Source organism: Homo sapiens, chromosome 3 (genome assembly GCF_000001405.40).
Source record: "Homo sapiens chromosome 3, GRCh38.p14 Primary Assembly".
Taxonomy (NCBI): domain Eukaryota; kingdom Metazoa; phylum Chordata; class Mammalia; order Primates; family Hominidae; genus Homo; species Homo sapiens.
Window position 1 is genome coordinate 24,311,812 of NC_000003.12, and position 20,425 is coordinate 24,332,236.

A 20,425-nucleotide genomic window follows, 5' to 3' on the forward strand; every position below is an offset into this window, starting at 1 on the left:
CTTCATACTCTATCCAGACTGAGCTGTCTACAACACGTATGTAATCTCACTGCTTAAAACCTCTCATTTACTAGTAGTAGGTCCAAAGACCTTGCAATGGCTTATAAGGCTTTGTACGCACAGGCCACCAATTACTTCTCATACCTTGCTCCTCTTCTCTCCACTTCCTCCATCTTGCCACTGTGTTGCAACCATCCTGAACTTTTCTGGGTTCCATGAAAGTGTCATGTTTTTCCTTAACACTGTGTTTTTGCATGTGCTGTTTCCCCTGCCAAGAAAACTTGAATGCTTGCCCTTGCCTTCTGCCCTACTTCCCACTATTTCAATTCTCAGTTAAATGTCCTTCCTTTGGGAAGTTTTCCTGACCTCTCAAGTCAGAGTTAGGTGCCCCACCCATGTGGGGGGTGTTCTCACGGCACCTTGTAAAACTCCTCATTGTAATTATCTTCTGTGGTAATTGTCTGGGTCCCCAGTAGTCTGAAAAGCAGCAAGAAAGTAAAGTCCTCATGTCTATTTTCTTTTTATTTTTTTCATCATCATAGCTCTTGTACCTAGCACTGTACCTGGCACAGAGTAAATACTAACTGTACTTCCTCATAGGTGGGAATTTATGAAGTATATTGTCCTGGAAAATAATTTAATGAAGCTGGTGAAAGAGCTAAGTTTTGAGATACAAAAGGTTCCTTCCCAGAGGTCCTTGAAATCAAACCATGCTTCCTACGTATACGCCCACATTTGTGTGGCAGAATCATTACATAAAACCGAGCTCTCCTGCTAATTTTGAGAACTGATCTCCTTCTATATCCTTCAATAATTTTCACATTCTTTTTTTCTCTATTGTACATCTACCTAGATCAAAGAATCATAGGAAGCCAGCGTGGCTCAGCCATGGTGAGTGAGGGGGAGAAGAAGAGGGGGTGAGATCTGTGAGTCTGGGCCACATCACACAGGGCCTGGTAGGCCATGTGGAAGAGCGAATATTTTATTTTTAGTCTAATGGAAAACCTTTAAAGAGTTTAAATCACAGTGGTGACTTCATCACTCTGGCTTCTTTGTGGAAAATGGGTTGGAGGATGATCCAAAAGACCAAAGAGAAAGACCAGTTAATAGATCATTGAAACATTTCAAAGGGAGGATGGTGGCTTGACCCAGCAGGACAGAAATGGAGATGGTGGGAGTGTGCAGACTCAGGATCTATTTTGGAGGCAGAATAGGTAGGAGTTGCTGAGAGTTTGGATTTGGGGGTGAGGGAAAGAGGAAGCAAGTATGATTTCTAGGTTTTGGGATTAAATACCTGGGTGAATGGTGCCGCCATTTACTGAGATGGGAAGACAGCAACTCCCAATTTTCAAGGCTCAGCTCAGTCCTCACTTCCTCCATGAAAGCTGTCATCAGGTCCAGTCTCCAACCTTCTCTCTTTCCTCTCAACCACTCGGGAAATCATTGTCTGCACCACTCATCTTTTCAGGAGTATGTGCTGAACTCCTCAACCTGGCGCACATTCCTTGAAGGTGAGGGACCCCTTTCACATCCAGAAATGCCTTGGATGTAGTGCTCCATCAAATTTGCTGCTTGGGGAATTAAAGACAATTCCCATGCAGCAAACATCCTTGAAGCTGCTAAGAATATCCTGCCACCCACGGGACTAAATGTTCACATCCTCCAGTTCATATCTCAATTGAACATTTTAAAAAGCCCATTACCAAAAGCCATTGAAAAATATGTTTCTCTCTACTTCTTAAAGAAAGGCATTTAATGTCTATTATATGCTCTATTGTTATTTAGTGTTATCCCTTTTCACTTGATATATAGTTACTTTTCTTCCCCATTATTAAGTATTACCTTAAAATGCAACCTCATTTCCTCTTGTACTAAATAGAAATTGAGGATAAGTTTCTCCTCACTGAAAACACTTTGAAATATTTCAAGTACATTTCCTTTTCTACACTGTTCATTCACAGTTTGGTTCAAAGGCTTTTTTTAAAAAAAAAAACAACTTTAAGATACCATAATATCACCTTTCAGTTCATTTTTAAAGTTTTTCAGAAATATAAATCTGATGCAAATTTGGAATTAGACATTTATTGTAGCTTCCCACACAAAGCTAGAATGCTGTCTATAATATTCTTAACAGTAAAAAGGGAACATAATCATGAAGAACTTATGCAGAGGCAGGAATTAGGCTTTTTCTTGTTCTTCTTTTCGATTCATGACCTTTGAGAAGTACTAAGAAAAGTATATTTTTGTTCATAATCTACTGTAGTACTGAGATAGGCGTTTTATACACCTGCTGTCATTTAACTAGCCCAATCACCTAATGATAGATTTTTATCTCCATTTCACAGATATTTGGCAGGGTTTAATGATTTGTCTGAAGACACACAGCTAGAAGAAGCAGGTCTGCATCCAAATCCAGGTCCTGGTGAATCTAAAGCTCAAGGTATTTTTTCTACACAATTATTCATTCAGACTGTAGGGATGAGGAAGGGAATCACCTTAGGAAAAGCCTAGTTCCATTGCAGCAATAACCAAACTATTTGTAAATTCTTCCTTAAATCAAGCCAAATCCTGAAATTTTTATTCACTGTTGGTCCTACCATCTAAAACAAGAGATCTTTAAATGTATTTTACAGGGTCCTGTGAGATCCCTGCTATTATGTGGCAATTTTGCATTTATAATAAATGTATTTTCTGAGGAGAGGTCTTTTTTTTAAATAACATCAAACTGCCAAAGGGATCTGTTATCCCTCTTTCCCAAAGGATAAAACTCTTTTCCTGAGGGAAATACAGGACAAGTGTCTTCCTTGCTCTGTGCTTCAGTCCTTCTCATGCTTAAAAATAGCTGTAATCACTCCTGCAGTCTTTTCTTCTCCAGATCGCACATTCCCAATTCTTTCAGCCTTTCTTTGTAACATGGAACACCCCAAACCTTCAGCCTCTACAGAGCCATTCTTTGGAACATATTCCAGGTGTCCCCTCAAGTATGGTACTCGAGGAAACTAAATGTCTCTCAAAGGATGGCACTAGGAATGGATTACACATTTTTTATTCATATATTCCTGCAGGGTCTTATTTCAGAATAGGAAGGTAATTTAATTTCCTTTTACAATTCTCCTTAACATTTTTGAAGTTTAAAAAACACAGGATTATAATCTATATCGATGTATTACCCTCCTTCCTCTCCCTGCCCCCGACGGAAAAGCTTGAAATTTAGGAATTATATTTTCTTTGTCTTTTAATTCCAATTCAGGACACATGAGAATTACTGGACAAGTACGTTTCTGTAATCCCACCCTTAGGAAGGATACATTAGAATTTTAAGAGAAGTTGTCCATTGGAAGCCCATGCCCTGATGGACACGTCTTGACCCACACATTAATTGCAACACAATCTCCTTCAGTGTTCACACACAGAGCATCACGGGGGTGGTTTGACACTTACCCTGCTGTCCTCTGGGCTTTTAGGACCTGCCGACATCGCTACATCCTCAGCATGAGCTTCTCATTCTCTACTTCCAAGTCAGATAGAATGAAGGCATTCTAAACAAATAAACCACCTGGGACCCAAAGCCACGTCCTGCACTTACGTGGCTAAGCTATCCCAATTATATGTTCTTGAAATGCACCTTAGATGCCTGTGGTGACTGACGCTTGGCTGGCGTCATGGCTGTGTGGATTTTGCCACATAACGCACCCAGGCAAACAGCTCACTACTCCAGGCTGCTCTCTCTGGCTCAGGATTCTGCACTGTGCCTCCCGGCCTTCTATAGGAGCCAGTATTGCAGCAGGAAGATGAGCAAAGCTTGTGGTAACCTAAACCCCTAGTGAAATGAGACTCCTATGGCACTGGGAGGCTGCCTGGACAGCTAACACCTGACATGCTACCTTATCCACATCTACATACCCTGTTACGATTAGAACTTTACTCTCCTCTCAACTCCCATATACTTACACCAGCCTGATAATAATAATTGCAGGGAGAAGTAGTTCACTCCACTAATTATGCTGCTTATAACTGGCACAGAGAGCAGCGATAATTTGGCTTAAAGTAAGGTTTTATGATCCTCATATGTTTAAAGTTTCCTTGGGTTCAAAGCCATTATGATTCAGGCTTGACAATTGTGAGGATGAATTTCAAATATCTCCGTATGTTTCTGTTTTTTTTCTTTTTTGTTAGAAAAGCATTATTTTGAAAGTGCTCCATGTGACAGCTCTTGTTTGCTCCTGAGGTGCCCAGCTATGAATTGAAAATGCTTTATTGCACTCTTTAGAGAACATGTTTCTGCTGGTGTGTAAGGCCTGGAAGCTGTCTGCATGCCAAGGCAATGCCCCCTAAATGAAGTCTTACATAAACCTGACAAAGTGTCTTTAGATAGAAGCAATCTCAATGGGCTACTACAGAGTCATGAAAATAACTGCTGGTCAACCACCAAAACAAAATTTGGCTGAGCACATACTTCTAAAAGCCTGAATCATAGGACTATCATGCCAGTAACATTTCATCATAATATATTTTTTAAATATACTGGTATATTCTTTTCTCTCCTCTTTCCATCCTTTCCTTCCTTTTTTCTCTTTTCCCTTCTCCCTCGGTTCCTTCCTTCCTTTTTTCCTTTCAGAAGACATTGTGCTCACCCTCTCCCCCTTTTTTCTTCCTTCTCGCCCTCTTGCTCTCACCCTTGTTCCTCCTCCCCCACCACATGCTACAGTTCAGACTCTACATTTAATTGTCAACTCACCTGATGCCCCTAGAGTCTACACAACCTACACTGCAAATTTTCATCCTCTCTTGAATTATTGCAATGTTATCCAAACCAGATCTCTCCAGAGGGTGGTTTATCAAGTCTCTCCTCTACTTAACAACCCTCAATTACTTCCCACCAGGTACAAGCTAAAGTCCTACTTCTCAGCTTCACATACAAGACCCCCGCTCCCAGCCCCAAGTACCACCTTCCACCAGTCCTATTCCTAACTTCAGTCTCCACAGCACACCTTAAAACATCCTCCACCCCCCAGAACACTTGACACCTCCCAAACAAGCTATGCCTTATCACAACTCAGAACTGCCCTGTCTGTTCACTCCTTTTCGTGAAAGGCTGAGCCCGTATTTCAGGCAGAAGCCCTTCCCTAACTTCCTCAGGCAAAGTTAGTGACTTTCCTCCTCAGGTTAACATTGCATTACAAACATTTATTACTATCTGTCTCCCCAAATCGGTTAAGAGTTTCTGGGGCAAAGGTGTCACTGACTCACCCACCAGGCAGTTGCTCAACAAAGGTTTGCTGAATGAACTTTGTTCCTTTGAGTTTATCCTGTATATTTTATAAGTAAAAAGAAGCCGCATAGTATGGGGTCTGTAAGTATGAGTTTGTGGGTTCAAATTCCACCTGTGACTTGAGCAGGTTATTTAATATCTTGGTGCCTCAGTTTCCCCATATGTGGAAACTTTCCAACTCTAGGGTGCTTGTGAGAAGTAAACAAGTTGCTACATAGATGGAATACTGCATGGAAAATCGAAAGAGGTGCATGCTACCTGAGTGTTTGTTAAATATAATGGAGGTAATTCTGATACCCCATGGCTGCCTCTGTTGTGCTCACGGCAGAAGGTTCCCAACACCATCAGGACTCGCTTGATTTCAACGAGCAGATCTTTTATTAGAAATGTAAGTGTCTGCCTTACTCCTCCAATAAAAAGAGAGATGCTAACACCAAGAACATTACTCAATCCCATAAGAAAACTAAAAGTGGGCTTATGCCACACTCAGAGCCATTGCACTGGCTAGGGTGTTGGGTCTGGAAGGCATACAAAACACAACACAACACAACAAAACAAAACAAAAACCTAGTTAAGAAACTACAATTCAATTCTTAGACTACCATATATGGGAAAATTCACATTGGTTCTAAACTGTTAAATAGAAAATATGTCTATATTCACAAAAAGAGATGGAAAGAAGTCTAACTTCAGCCAGGTTCAGTGGCTCATGCCTGTAATCCCAGCATTTTGAGAGTCCAAGGTGGGCAGATTGCTTAAGCCCAGGAGTTCAAGAATAGCCTGGGAAACATGGCAAAACCTCATCTCTACTAAAAATGCAAAAAATTAGCCAGGTATGGTGGTGTGTGACTGGAGTCCCAGCTACCTGGGAGACTGAGTCGGGAGGATCACCTGACCCTCAGGAAGTCGGGTCTGCAGTGAGCTATGATGGCACCACTGTACTCTACCTTGTCTCAAAAAAGAATGAACGAATGAAAAGAAAGGAAGGAAGGAAGGAAGGGGCCTAATTTCATGCAATTTGGCTTCAAAAAGTGAGTAGAAGCGAAAATTCAGAGTTCAGAGACAGTCAAAGGGAAGTATGATTCTTTTTGTTTGCAGGTAAATCAAAAGGGAGAGTCTCTGGGTTGAAATTCTGCAAAATATATTTCACTTAAGTACATCCTTCATGATCAGCCCTGTACACATCCTGGCTGTATCTTTTGCAAGTGCCTCCTGCATGTGCCTTATGCTCCAGCTGTGCCAACAACCTTCGAGAAACCTGCGCAGAAGCTCACCTTCACACCTGTGCTTGGTAGCTGCCTTGCCTGGGATGCCCCCCTTCTCGTTGTAACACTCACTCAGGTGTCCACTTTTCCTGGGAAGACTTTTTCTTGCTCTCTTCAAGGACCTTTGCTATGAGCCTCCAAGCCCCCTGAAAATACATACACATTTTGCAAAGCATTTATCACATTGCATGACAATTAGTATGTTCACTTTCTCACTCCCTCACTAGACAGTGAGTCTTTCAAAAAAGAGGGGGACTGTGTCTATTTCCCTGTTGCTTTCTCAATGCCCAGCACAGTGCCTGGAACAAAGTATGTGCCCAATAAATGCTCACTGGATATTATTGAACAGACAGGATTCCCTGTGTATGGAGAGGCAAATTCATTGCCAAATGCCTATGGTAGCAATGTTGGGTCCTCCCCTGTGCATTGTTTATCAAGGCCATGCCATGGGGATACCACACTAGGGATGTGGGTGAGGAATTTTCACATCTGACTAGGCTGAGATGATTGTACAATTACACATCACTTCTCTCTAGAAAGAGAAATAGTTAGGATTCCTTAAAAGGGTTAGGAATTCCTCAAAAACCATTGCACATGCAGTAGCCTGAACCAAGAATTTAAAAACTTCTACATGACATTCAACGTTTATGACTCACCCATTTTAGGTGAAAATGCAAAGGAGTAGGCATATTAAAGCCACAATGAGAGACTATTACATACCCATTATAATGACTAAAATTTAAAAAGACTAACATTATCAAGTATTGTAGAAGATATGGAGCAACTGAACTCTCTTACACTGTTGGGGGCACTGTAAATTTCTATAACCACTTTGCAAAGCTGTTTGAAAGTTTTTAATAAAGTTAAACATATATCTACCCTATAGCCTAGCAAATCTTCCCCTAGGTTTATATCCAAGAGAAATGGATATGTCCACCAAAAGACAGTCCCAAACTGGAAACAATCCAGTTTTCTGTTACACAAGAAAATGAATAAACATACTGTGGTATATCCATGTACTCAATACTACTCTGCAATAAAAAAGAATAAAATACTGACATATGTAACAACAGGTATGAATCTTACAAATGTTATGTTGAGCAAAAAATGTCAAATACAAAAGAATATGTATTATGTAATATGTAAAAGAAGTTCAAGAACAGATAAAAACATTTATCAACGGTGATGAAATTCAGAAAAGTGGTAATCCTGGTATGGGGCAGGCAGTGACAGAGAGGGGCATGGGCAAACTTCAGTGTTGCTGGAAATGTTTTGTATGTTCTTCCAAGTGGTAGTTACATGGGTATACAACTACATAAAAAAATGGAGCTTTATATGCTTTAGCATGTGCATGTTATAGCACACTAAAAAGTTTTTCTTCATAAACTCAATGGACAGATCCCCTAGACGAGTAGAAGGGACAAAACACCCCATCACTCATATAAAATTCAGAGAATGGGTCATATACACCCTTGCTTGTTCAGGGAAAAAGATCAGCACCGAATAAAAGCTGACACATGTTCCAGTGGAACTGGCATGGTTGCGGAACACAGCATTATGGCAAACTCAGTGTATTCAAACAACCGAGGGCAAAGACATCCACTGCTCTGGAGGTCACACCTGTAGCATGACTCCCTTTTGGGGATGAGTGGACATCCCAGCTACGCTCTCTATTATGGGAGTCTAGCAACAGAGGCCCTTCTCAGTCATATACTTTCAGTCAAGTCATTGCTTCGGGTGCCACTTTTTGAAAGTCACTTCATAAAAGAATAATGCTAAAACCCTCCGAAGAGTGTAAGCATACTAAAACCAGAAGAGAGAAAATAAAGAAAAACTTTGCAGAAATGTGAGATTACCCTAAGATGATCAGAAATCTCAAATACTTGAAGCCTGCTGTGTCTGCTATGCCTGTCCAATCGAAAGGAAAGAGATGCTCCAGAAAAATGTATTGTCTGCTCTTTACCAAACAGGGTTTTGGCTCCTAATAAGAGTTGAACCGGATTATCACGTGAGGAGCTGCAGAATTTCTTTTACTCTTTCAGTGTTTCTCAACAAGGACATTATGGCATTCAGGGCAGGACAAATGTTTGGGTGCAGGACTGTCCTTGTTCTGAATGTCCTAAAGGCCAGTAGCATCCCAGCCCTCCCATCACTGTGACACCAACAAAATGTATGAACATGTTTCTGAGTTGAGAACCAGCACTGATGTTTTGGCAGAAGATTTAATTGGCATCCTGATGGCCTAATCCACCCTGAATTAGAATCTACAGTCAGTCTTCTGGTTGGTGTTTCTAGTATTAAATATCAAGTGTAAATATCTAATGTTAAACATAATATTAATAACAAATTAGTCAACATTTGACAAAAAAAGGGGGAGGACTTTGCTCAAAGGTCCAAATTTCCAGTCCCTCAAGAAGTGACTCATTGAACTTACCCACCCAACCCTTGCTGGCATTTGCATTTGCAATCTTGGACTTGAGGCCTATGTGGCAGGAAGGTCAAGCAGCCAGGCACTTATTTCCTTTCTCCTCTGTCCATTGGGTCTCACCAATTAGACTGTGAAAGGAGGAAGCTAGCAAAGAAGATGACAGAAAGAGCCATCTCTTTAAGGCCTGGAGCAGAGCTCATCTAAGCCACTACCCAGGTCTCTTTCTCTTACCAACCCTTTCCCCCAAGAGGACAGAGTTTCAGGTGTATCTTCTGGCAAACAGAGCCAGGGAAGAAAAATCAGCAGAAGAAAAGTATTTCTTTAGAATTATTTATTCTAAAGTCCATGAACCTTATCAAAGTGAGTGACTTTGCCCAGTTTTACACCCCCAGTCTCCATCTCAATGTGTAGGCTTAAATAACATAACCAGTTGTGTTACTATAATGACCTAATAGCACATCCCTGCAGACTCCACTTCATTCCTGCATCCATTCAGAGGAGGCCCAAAAGCAGGGTCTCTTCATCTGGTTTCCACATCCCTAGGCAGTGTATCCCGAAGAGTGATATGAAAGATAAGTTTAGGGGGTAGGTTTATGAATTTTTGAAAGAATAGTACTAATTTTTTTTACAGTTATCTTTTGCTTTTAATAAATGATACATTTTTCATTTATAGAAATAACATAGATTCCTTTTAAAATAATTTATGTAAATCCAAAAGGTCAACTATAAAAAAATGTGAGACTGGGGATGAAATTATGGCAGTTTGGGATGATTTTTACCTCAGGAGGGTCTAAGACGGGCTTCTAAGGTTTCATAAATTCCTTGAAAATTTATGGGGGATTGTATGCTAATATAATTTTTTTTTTTCTGGGAGGAAGGTCCACAGTTTTCATAAGGTTCCCCTAAAGAACCGTGAATCCAAAATGTTAGGAATGATTGTCCTAGAATCTATGCTGTGATGTTCAACACTGTAGCCACTAGTCACTAACCACACATAGCTGCTAGGCACTTCATACTTGCCTAGTTCAAATGAGATGTGCTATAAGTATAAGATACACACTAGATTTTGAAGACACCATGAAAAATAGAATGTAGAATATCTCATTAATATTTTTCTGCTGGTTACTTGTTGGAATACTATTTTACATATTGAGTTAGAAAATGCAGTATTAAAATAAATTTCACCTTTTTTTTTAATGTGGTTACTAGGAAATTTAAAATTACAGATGTGAGTTGGATTTGTGGCTTACTTTATATATTTAGTGGACAGTACTGGGTTATAGTATAAGGCCAAGAAAAATAAGATAATCTCTGAAGTCCAAGAGAAATTAGAATTATGAATATATTTTAAGGCATATTTATAATGTAAGAAACAAGATAAATTTTGAGAAAAAAATGAATTTTTACAAAATATTGATTTGGAGAGAAACAATTATACAGGTATACACTTCACTTTGTCCCCTTAATCACTTAGCCAGGAAAATAAACCAGTAGTAGAAGCTTAAACTGTTCTATTCTTTCAAATTAAAACTACAGTTTCCATAGATTCAAATGAAGGTAGAAAACAGTAACGGTTTTAAAGTTCCTGGGAAAAGTAGGTAAATGATTTAAGTATCATTTTCTTTGGTTAATATAATCTATATCCACCAAATAACAAAGAGTTTATTGTATTTGCTTTGGGCCAGGCCCACCTCCCATCTCTGTCTGATGGCCCCTCACTAGGATAATTAAAATGTCTAAGTCTTTTAGAGGAACTCCTGAAACTCCTTTCTTTGCCTGGACAGAAGCTTTCATCTCTGGGTCTGCACATCTTGGGGCATCACAATCTCTCTTCAGCATTTCCTTTCTGAACTGAAAGCTGATTCCTTCAATGTATAGTTGCTCAGGTGCAAAGGAATATTACTGTGAATTGTTTTCTTTTCCATTGTTATTATCAAGGCAATGGTTCATCTAGATCCTTCTACTGGAAGTCATTTCTTGTTACAGAAGCTTGTATTTTCTATGGCTGATCAATATATGAGAATAGTCCCATGTTCATTTTATTGCATGGTCCTGCATCTAATCATCTAATCTTTCACAGAAAAGATTAGCTCCATCTCTCCTACCTAATATCCTGCCACCTTTTGTAACACAAACACGATTTGGGTGCTAATAAATGTATCAGTCCCAGATCGGTACAGATACAGAGCTCATGAGTGAATTTGGCCATAAGAGCATTTTTCTTATGAGCATTACATTCATGCCCACTTGTTTCCCATTCACTCCCATTCTGTTCCTCAAAAATCTATAGCAGAAGGCCTATTGGTGTTTAGGGTTTCCATAAAGTGATGTCATTCCGTTGAGCTTTAAGTGGCCCACAGATAATGTTACCATCATGTTTTCTTCAATGAGATGACTTGTTCTAACTAAGTCAGGCCCCAGGCAACCACCATTCCTACGCACGGTTTTTGGTTTTTTTTTTTTTGGATCCTGTTGTCTCTTTACTTTCTGGGAGCAGCATTTCTGCCCTTTAAAATGGCAACTGCTCCCCAAGCCAAGCAAGACAGGAGCTGTTAATGGCTCTGTTTGTTTTCAAATAGCATTCTTAGGGAGGAACAACCATCATACAATACATCTAGCTATGTGGAGTGCAAGAGCTCCACTTGCATGTTGACTTGTTGACTCAGCCTTCTCCAATTTTACTGTGCATAAAAATCACCTGGGATCTTGTTAAAGTACAGATTCTGATTCATTAGATCTGGAGTGAGTCCTGAGATTCTGCATTCCTAACCAGCTCCCTGGTGGGGCCAATGCTTCTAGCCACAAACCATGCTTTGAGCAGCAAAGGATCATCTCTAAGAAACTTTCCATGTTCATTGTTCTATAATCCTGTGAGATCAGAAACACCAATAGTTGGCATAAGCAGATGAAGATTCTCCCCAGGACCTCCACTAGAATACTCCAGAAGTCATAATACCAGTTGTAGAAATTTATCTAAATAGGAGGATTTAGAAATTAAGTATGGGAGTCAATCCCCAAATCATTTCAGTATCTTGAAATAAAGCAATCAGTGGACCAAACTTACTATCTAATAGTTCTTTCAAATGTTTGAAATGTTAGGTTTCTCTTTGAATTTCAAATGTTTGAAATGATTATGTGTAGTCAAGGATTAAACCATAAGCAGTACTGTTATAAACCACCATAATGTGCTACATCTGTTAATAAAAGACCTCCTCTTCCAGCTTCCACCTTGGTCTGAACACCCAATATGAAAGTTTTCTACAATCTCCCCAGCCACCTTGGATACCACCCCTGTGGGCACTTGACCTGCCTCAGTCTCACCCCACGCTTCATCTCAGTTTCAACTGAGTCACAGGTAGGTCATTTCTACAGCAGATCTACTAGGATCACACACCGCACATCTCAGTTTCTTTATTGAGGACCTGAGAGGTCATAGAAAGAAGTCACTTTGTTAACTTTATAGCCTCCTGTCTTCTCTGTGGTGCTTTGTCCAGTTTGCTCATTCATTCATTTCCATCCATCCATTCATTCTATCTTTCTCCTTCTCTTCTTTAGAGTAATGGCCAAAACCTCCCCTTGTCTACAGCAGAACAGTTCCACTGTCACCCAGATCCTTTGGAAATTTATCTTTTTACTTCCAAGCACACTGACCAAGGCATTTTTTTCCAAATAAACAGCTCCTTTCCTTGAGAAATTGTGTTGCTAGTTGTTACTAGATGTCATTTGCCCATCCTGTTACATCCAGTTACTTTTTTTGCTCTAACCTCTTTTTTATTGTGAAATATAATATACATACAGAAAACTGCATACATATCAACTTTTTACCTTCAACTTCTACTCTCTTTGAATTTTAATGGAGAAATCAGTTACTTTTCATTAACAACATATTAAATAAAAACATAAATCATTTAGTAACATGGCTATAATTGTAGTCCACAGATCCAAGATGTAAATGAACCAAGGCCAAGCTTAAATGAGAACACTAAAGGTCCATGTAATCTGTTGGTTGCTAAATGGGATATGCTCAAATCTTTGTTTCTTATTCCTGATTTCCAGAAAATCAAGTAGGTAAATGCTCTTACAATGAGCAGATTCAATGCTGTATCTACTTGCTGAAAAATATGTATTATACTATTTAAGATTACATGAGAATTATAAAATATGTATGATAGGATTTTGGATTAAATGGGAACATCAAAATAAAATGAATAAAATCGATAATTTCAGCAGGCTCTTATGTAGTCAGGGTCTATCTCTTCAGACTGTGTATTAAATTCTTGCTTCTTGCTTTTGGCTGTCTGTCTTTTATAATTTTACAGACAATAAGAAGAAGCAGCAGAAGAGAAAGAAGTCAAACACATAGTCTATCAGATGAAATTATTATTTATTAATCATTCTCATGAAAGATTTGCTGGGGGAGAAAGGTTAAGCTTATTACTACATGGTGGTCCCTAGATTGGTAGGTAGTTCATCATTGCTGCCTCAGACCCTGTTAACATTGATAACTAATGGCTGGCATGATGCCTGTCATATTAAATGCTTCCTCTCAAAGGAAGAAAAACAGCACTGAAAGAAAGTAATTGGTTCACTCTCAATTAATTGCAAATGGTTTTAAAAGAGCAAGGAGAGGCCGGGTGCAGTGGTTTATGCCTGTAGTCCCAGCACTTTGGGAGGCTGAGGCGGATGGATCACCTAAGGTCAGGAGTTCGAGATCAGCCTGGCCAACAGGGCAAAACCCCATCCCTATTAAAAATACAAAAATTAGCTGGGTGTGGTGGTGCCTGCCTGTAATCTCAGCTACTCAGGAGACTGAGGCAGGAGAATCACTTGAACCCAGGAGGCAGAGGTTGCAGTGAATTGAGATTATGCCACTGCACTCCAGCCTGGGCGACAGAGTGAGAGACTCTGTCTAAAAAAAGCAAGGAGAACACTTGCTGTTGTCTTTGATGATCAGTCTAAATATAACAATCCCTGCCTGTTTTTCTTCATTGATTAACTTCAATTTCAAAGGTATGTTAGTGTGCCAAATGTTTGAGGTAGAAAAAATTTTCCAACATGTAATAAATCATAATATAGCAACAGTCCAGAAATGATACCAAATTGCCTTCAATAATGAAAACAACAACAAGAGAACAAAACCTGCTAAGTGTTGAAAATAGGTTTTAGGACTGATAGCCCTCCTTCCCTCCCTCTCCCTTTCTCCTCTTTAATTAAAGTCAAATTCCACTTATTCTTCTAGGCTTGATACAAATTCTAATGCCCTCAGTCAAGGATTCATAGATCACTGCAATCCACCATCATCTTTTGCTCTTCTTAATATCTTGAATATGTGATATCTGCCCCATTCATCTGTAGTTGCCAAAATATAAATAATAAATAACTAGAATGATTGTTCACCTTTTTGTGAATATGTATCCTGATTTCTCCCCACCTCCACCACCACGGTTAGTTACAACTTTCTTTTTATTTTATTTTTCGAGATGAAGTCCCATTCTGTTGCCCAGGCTGAAGTGCAATGGCACAGTCTCGGCTCACTGCAACCTCCGCCTCCCAGGTTCAAGCAATTCTCTTGCCTCAGCCTCCCAAGTAGCTGGGATTACAGGTGCCCACCACCATGCCTGGCTAATTTTCATATTTGTAGTAGAGATGGGGTTTCACTATGTTGGCCAGGCTGGTCTTGAACTCCTGACCTCAGGTGATCCACCTGCCTCGGCCTCCCAAAGTGCTGGGATTACAGGCATGAGTCACCGTTCCCGGCCAGTTACAACTTTCTTAAGGGAATTGGCTGTACTTTTTATACCTCCCACTGGCATAGCATGGTGTTTTGCATAGAGAAAAGCTTAGTAAATATTTATTTGACAACGTGTTTTCCCAAAGGGAGCTAGTAAATAGTTGTTCCCTCTGTTATTAAGCAAACTCCCAAACCAGAAATTGTTTGGCCTTGGTATGGTTTCTTCACTAGAAGCTGTCCAGTCTTGTCTTTTTTTTTTTTTTTTTTTTTTTTTTGAGATGGAGTTTTGCTCTGTCACCCAGGCTAGAGTGCAGTGGCGCAATCTTGGGCCACTTCAACCTCTACCTCCTGGGTTCAAGTGATTCTTCTGCCTCAGCCTCCTGTGTAGCTGGGACTACAGGTGCGTGCCACCATGCCCAGCTAATTTTTGTATTTGTAGTAGAGTCAGGGTTTCACCATATTGGCCAGGCTAGTCTCAAACTCCTGACCTCATGATCCGCCCGCCTCAGCTTCCCAAAGTGATGGGATTACAGGCGTGAGCCACTGCTCCCTGTCAAAGCTGTCCATTCTTTAGTGTGGACTTCTTATATGGTTGCCATTGAGAGTGTTCATAAAATAAGTCAGCATAACATAGGAATGAACAATTACAAAAACTTGTGTTTAGAATAAAATCGGTAATTAGACGATTTTGTGAGAGAGATGAACATTTTTTGATGAACTATTTTGTTCATCCAAGTAAATGCTCAGGGACCCCCCCCACCGCCACCCTCATTCTCTCACTTCTAATTGATGTATTTAGGAATTAAGAAATTTGAATTTTGTTTCTAATTCAATCAAAGAGTTGCTGTAAGAGTATTGGGAAATCCTAATGGTAAGTGTTTAAATCATTCATCAGTAGACAATGGAATAAATCAGATATTCCAATCAGATCCTAAAGGATACATTTATATGGATTAAAAGTTGAAACCCTAGGACAATAAATGACCATATAAAAGCAATTAATATTCACTTAACCAATAGATACTAAGCACCTACTATGTGCCAGGCACAATTCTAGGTACTTGGGATATATCTGTAAATAAAACAGACAAAGGTTCCTGTGTCCTTATTCTCAAGGAGCTTACATTTTAGTGGATGGAAACTAACAACAAAATAAATAAACTATATTTTATGTGAAAAGGTGAAAGATGCTATGGGATCAGAACTGTCAAGAGCTGTCCTTGTTGGGGATTTGAAGTAGCAAATAGAATGGACCTCAATGAGAGGATAAAATTCAAATTAAGACTTTGCAATAGGCGAGGGAGTGAGCCCAACAGGCATATTGGTGGGACATCTGAGAGTATTCTACTGCTAGAACAAAGGTAAACAAGAAAGTAGAACAACACATTGGCAATGCATGAGATGGACAAAGAGATAATATCCTTAATAAAGAAAAAAAGAGTTCTTAAAAATCATTAAAAAAAATCAATACCCTATAGGAAATGGGTGCATGACATCAACAAATAATCCTTTAATGAAGTTCAACAAAAAGTGAAAAATGTCCAACCTTACAAATAATCAGTAAAGTACACATTAAAGCAGCCTCACTATTGGGGTTTCTAGTTTGTTAAGATTAAATAATGTTGGCGAGGCCATAGGGAGGCAGACATTCTTCTACAATGCTAATGGAAGCATAAAATGACACAACGTCTTGTAAAATAATTTTCCTATATTTATCAATAGCCTTTATTTTAGAAACACTTCTTACGGAAATAATCAGAAGTTAAGACAAAATGTATATATAAGTATATTTACTGCAGCAATATTTATAATAATATATAAATACAAGTGATTAATATCTAGATATTATCCAAACTGAAGTCTGCAGCCCAGGAAATATCCATGAGCATTTGACGCCTCCACATAAATGTTCCATAAATACCTCAAACTCCAAATGTCCAAACCCAAACTCACCTTCTCCAGTCCCTATTCCGGCCCTTAGATCTCTTCCCCTTGTCTTCCCTAGTTCAGTGAATGTCACCTACTTACACCCACTGCTTAAGACACAAACCCAGGACTCATCCTTGATGGCTTCTCTCTTGCTTCCCACATTCTATCAATCCCCATGTTTCGTCAATTCTACTGTAATGTTTCTTGAATACATCCATCTTCTCTATTCACACTGGAACTGCCCTAGCGCAGCCCTCACCATTTTATACTTAGGCTAATGAATAGCTGCTTACTTGGCCTGGTCCACTGTGGCCAATCTTACCTCCAACCTACCTGTCTTCCTTGCCCTATAGAACTCTTTCTAAAATATAAAACTGGATCAAACAATTACTTTGTTTACAATTTTAAAATGGTTCCCTACTGCTATCAGATTAATATCCAAACGCCTTAGACTTTCATGATCTGACTCTTGATGGTCAACTTTCCTGTCCTGCCAGCATGAATGTTTCTTCTTTTTTTTTTCTTTTTGAGACAGGGTCTCCCTCTGTCACCCAGGCTGGAGTGCAGTGCCATGATCATGGCTCACTGCAGCCTCCAACTCTTGGGCTCAAGGTATCCTTCCACCTCAGCCTCCCATGTAGCTGGGACTACAGGCATGCACCACCATGCCCCTCTAATTTTTTGATTTTGTAGAGATGGGGTCTTGCTATGTTGCCTAGGGTGGTCTCAAACTCCTGGCCCCAAAAGATCCTCCCACCTTGGCCTCCCAAAGTTCTGAGACTACAGGCATAAGCCACTGCACCTGGTCCAGCCTGAATTCTTAAACTCCATCTATTACCATCTTCTTACAAATTACATTTCATGTCTTTGCATATTCTACTTCCCCTGCCTGTCCTCCTATACATTTACTGTTGGCCAGACAACTTCTCTTCACCTGTGTAGACTCATCTGAGGTATCCTATCTTCCAGGAAGCCTTGCCTGACTCCATGCCCCCAATTCATTTTTGGGTTTCATTGTTCTATTGATCTCTCAAAGAACATCATGCATATTTATATCATAACATGTATTACACTGTTGTGCACACATTGCTTTGTTTCTTTGGTAATTCTTTTGACTGCCACATCTGGCTAAGCTGTAGTACTCCAGTGGGCACCATTTACACAGTGACCAAACTGCACAACTGTATTGAACAGTCATGTATCCTTTCCACCACAGACAGATCATCTTTATACATCCATGCACAATAATTGGCCCAGTTCAAGTGCTAGAATAGACACATTTATATAACAGACATTTGTTTAATGAAAGAAAAAGTGAGCAATCAACAAAACTCTAGTTGTCTTGATGAAAAATTCCTTCAGACCAGTGATTCTCAAAGTGTAGTCTCTGAATAAGCAACATGCATCACTGGGGAACTTGTTAAAGTGCAGATTCTCAGGCCCCACTCCAGACCTACTGAATCAGAGACTCTGGCAATGGAACCTAAGACACTGTTTTAACAAACCATCTAGATGATTCTAATGCATGCTTTACTTTGAGAAACACCGTCTTAGACTGCTCAAAACTAAAAGTAAAGATTTCATTTCGGCCAGGCGCGGTGGCTCACGCCTGTAATCCCAGCACTTTGGGAGGCCGAGGCGGGTGGATCATGAGGTCAGGAGATCGAGACCATCCTGGCTAACAAGGTGAAACCCCGTCTCTACTAAAAATACAAAAAAAATTAGCCGGGCGCGGTGGCGGGCGCCTGTAGTCCCAGCTACTCGGGAGGCTGAGGCAGGAGAATGGCGTGAACCCGGGAAGCGGAGCTTGCAGTGAGCCGAGATTGCGCCACTGCAGTCCGCAGTCCGGCCTGGGCGACAGAGCGAGACTCCGTCTCAAATAAAAAAAAAAAGATTTCATTTCAAGGGTTCAAATCACTTTGCCTGTAAGGAAGTCATTTACTTAATTTTTTAAAAAGTTTAAGTTATAAGGCAGTTCAGACATTCAAGGTATATAAAACAATATTACAGACACCCATGTACCCACCATTCAGATCTGCGGGTATTTGATCCATCACCCTAAAAGAAATAAAACAGCAAAACACTACCAACCCATCTCTCTCTCTCATCTCTCACCAAGCTAACCACTGTTTTACAGTTGGTGTGTGTTTTTCCCATGCATGCTTTTATACTTTTACTACGTAAGTGTGTAGGCATCTACTTATTAATGAGAGACTTTGTCCAGGATGTCAGAACAGAAATCACAACACTTGCCCCAGCAAGCTGCATGGGAAGACACCTGGAGTAGCCAGCAGCCAGTGCCAACCAAACCTGCCCCTCTCCAGCATTTGGTGGGAAAAAATAGAGCTCACATGAGCTTTACAAAATGCAATCAGAGGGGGTTAAAATAAGAAAACCAAGTTATACTTATTTAACTGTTGCTGACTGTAAAAGCTAAAATAAAAAGTAGGTTTTGCCTTGAAGCTAAGGGTGTCAAACACATAGTACCAAGAAAGTTGTACTGACAAACTTTGTCATTTTTGTGTAGATTACACACACAAGGGATGTGTGCACCTGCCAGTGTATCGTGCACCATGGATATAAAGAGTTCCAAAAGAGCTATGATCTTTTTTTGGATATAAGGAGTTCCGAAAGAGCTGGCTCCAACTGTCAACACCATAGATGAGTCTTGATTTTGTCTTCTGAAAAATGGCATTACCTGCTGTCTTATGGCTTAAAAAAAGGGAGTGATGATGACTTGAGCGTTAATTTCTTTCTTATTTGGGAGCCTATACGTTTATGAAAATATGATTACCAAACTCATAAGTCTACTCCTCCTAAAATTAAAAAATTAAAGACAAAAAGAAAGAAAAAAAGAAGGGGAGAGAGCAGGGAAGGAGGGAATAAGAAAGGGAAAAAGGGAGAACAAAACTTAACAACTATTTTCTCCCCGTCCTGACTTTCCTACTTTCTCCAGCTTGGCTTCTTATGATGACTTCCTACTCATCTTTACAACTGGCTTCTTATGATGACTTCCTAGTCATCTTTACAATTTCTCCTTCTCACATTCTCTTTCAAAGCCTGTAATTTAGCCTCTTTTTCCAGGTGATTCTTAGGGATACCAAAGTGTGAAATCATTGCTATTGGTGGTATGGAGCCCTAGAAAAGTTTTACATTGTTGTTTTTGTTTTATGTATGCATGTGTGTATGAATATACATACACATATATAGTGTGTTTATATACATACACACACCTCCGTGTATGGTGTGTGTGTGTGTGTGTGTATGTTTAAACATAGTTCACAGTTTTGGATGGCAGCTAATGAATAAACACATTCTCCTTGGTCAATTTACTCTACAAATTTGATCACATGCATCTATTTTCTCCTATCCCTGATACCATGTCACTAATACCGAGCTTATAACCACAAACTACAGTACTCAAAACCCCCTTTCATCGTTCCCCTTTTTATCCATCATACACTTGGCTACAAGATCAGTCCCTTGAAAGCCCCACCTTGACCATTCCTCTCCGTACTTGAAGGGCCTCCAGTAGCTGCCTAATTGTGACCAAGTCTGCTAGGTGTCTCCGCAATGTTCCCTCACAACGAAATCCCACTTTCATTCCGGGTGGCAAGGTACCCAGCCACATTTTCCCACTTCCTTTGCAACTACGAGTCGGTAGATGAGATTGTAGATAGAAGTTGCTTGATGGGCATTCTGGTAAGACCCCCTAAAGAGGAAAAACACAGCTAGTAATGGGTGCCTTTTTCTACCCCTCCCCCATTGTTGCTGTTGTCTAGAATTTATACATGAAGGCT

At 39.9% G+C, this 20,425-nt stretch overlaps 1 protein-coding gene across 53 annotated transcripts in view; it reads right to left on the reverse strand.

Moving 5' to 3' along the window:
- The window catches only part of THRB (thyroid hormone receptor beta), a 378,556-nt gene that overhangs the window by 194,659 nt on the left and 163,472 nt on the right, over positions 1-20,425 (reverse strand). For 23 of the 53 annotated variants that reach the window (XM_047448810.1, XM_047448803.1, XM_047448796.1 and 20 more), the window contains one exon: positions 6,547-6,683. The exons of the other annotated variants lie outside the window; for them this stretch is intronic. The gene's annotated coding sequence lies outside the window, so the exon portion shown is untranslated. The remainder of the gene's footprint in view (positions 1-6,546; positions 6,684-20,425) is intronic. 53 annotated transcript variants of the gene reach the window in all.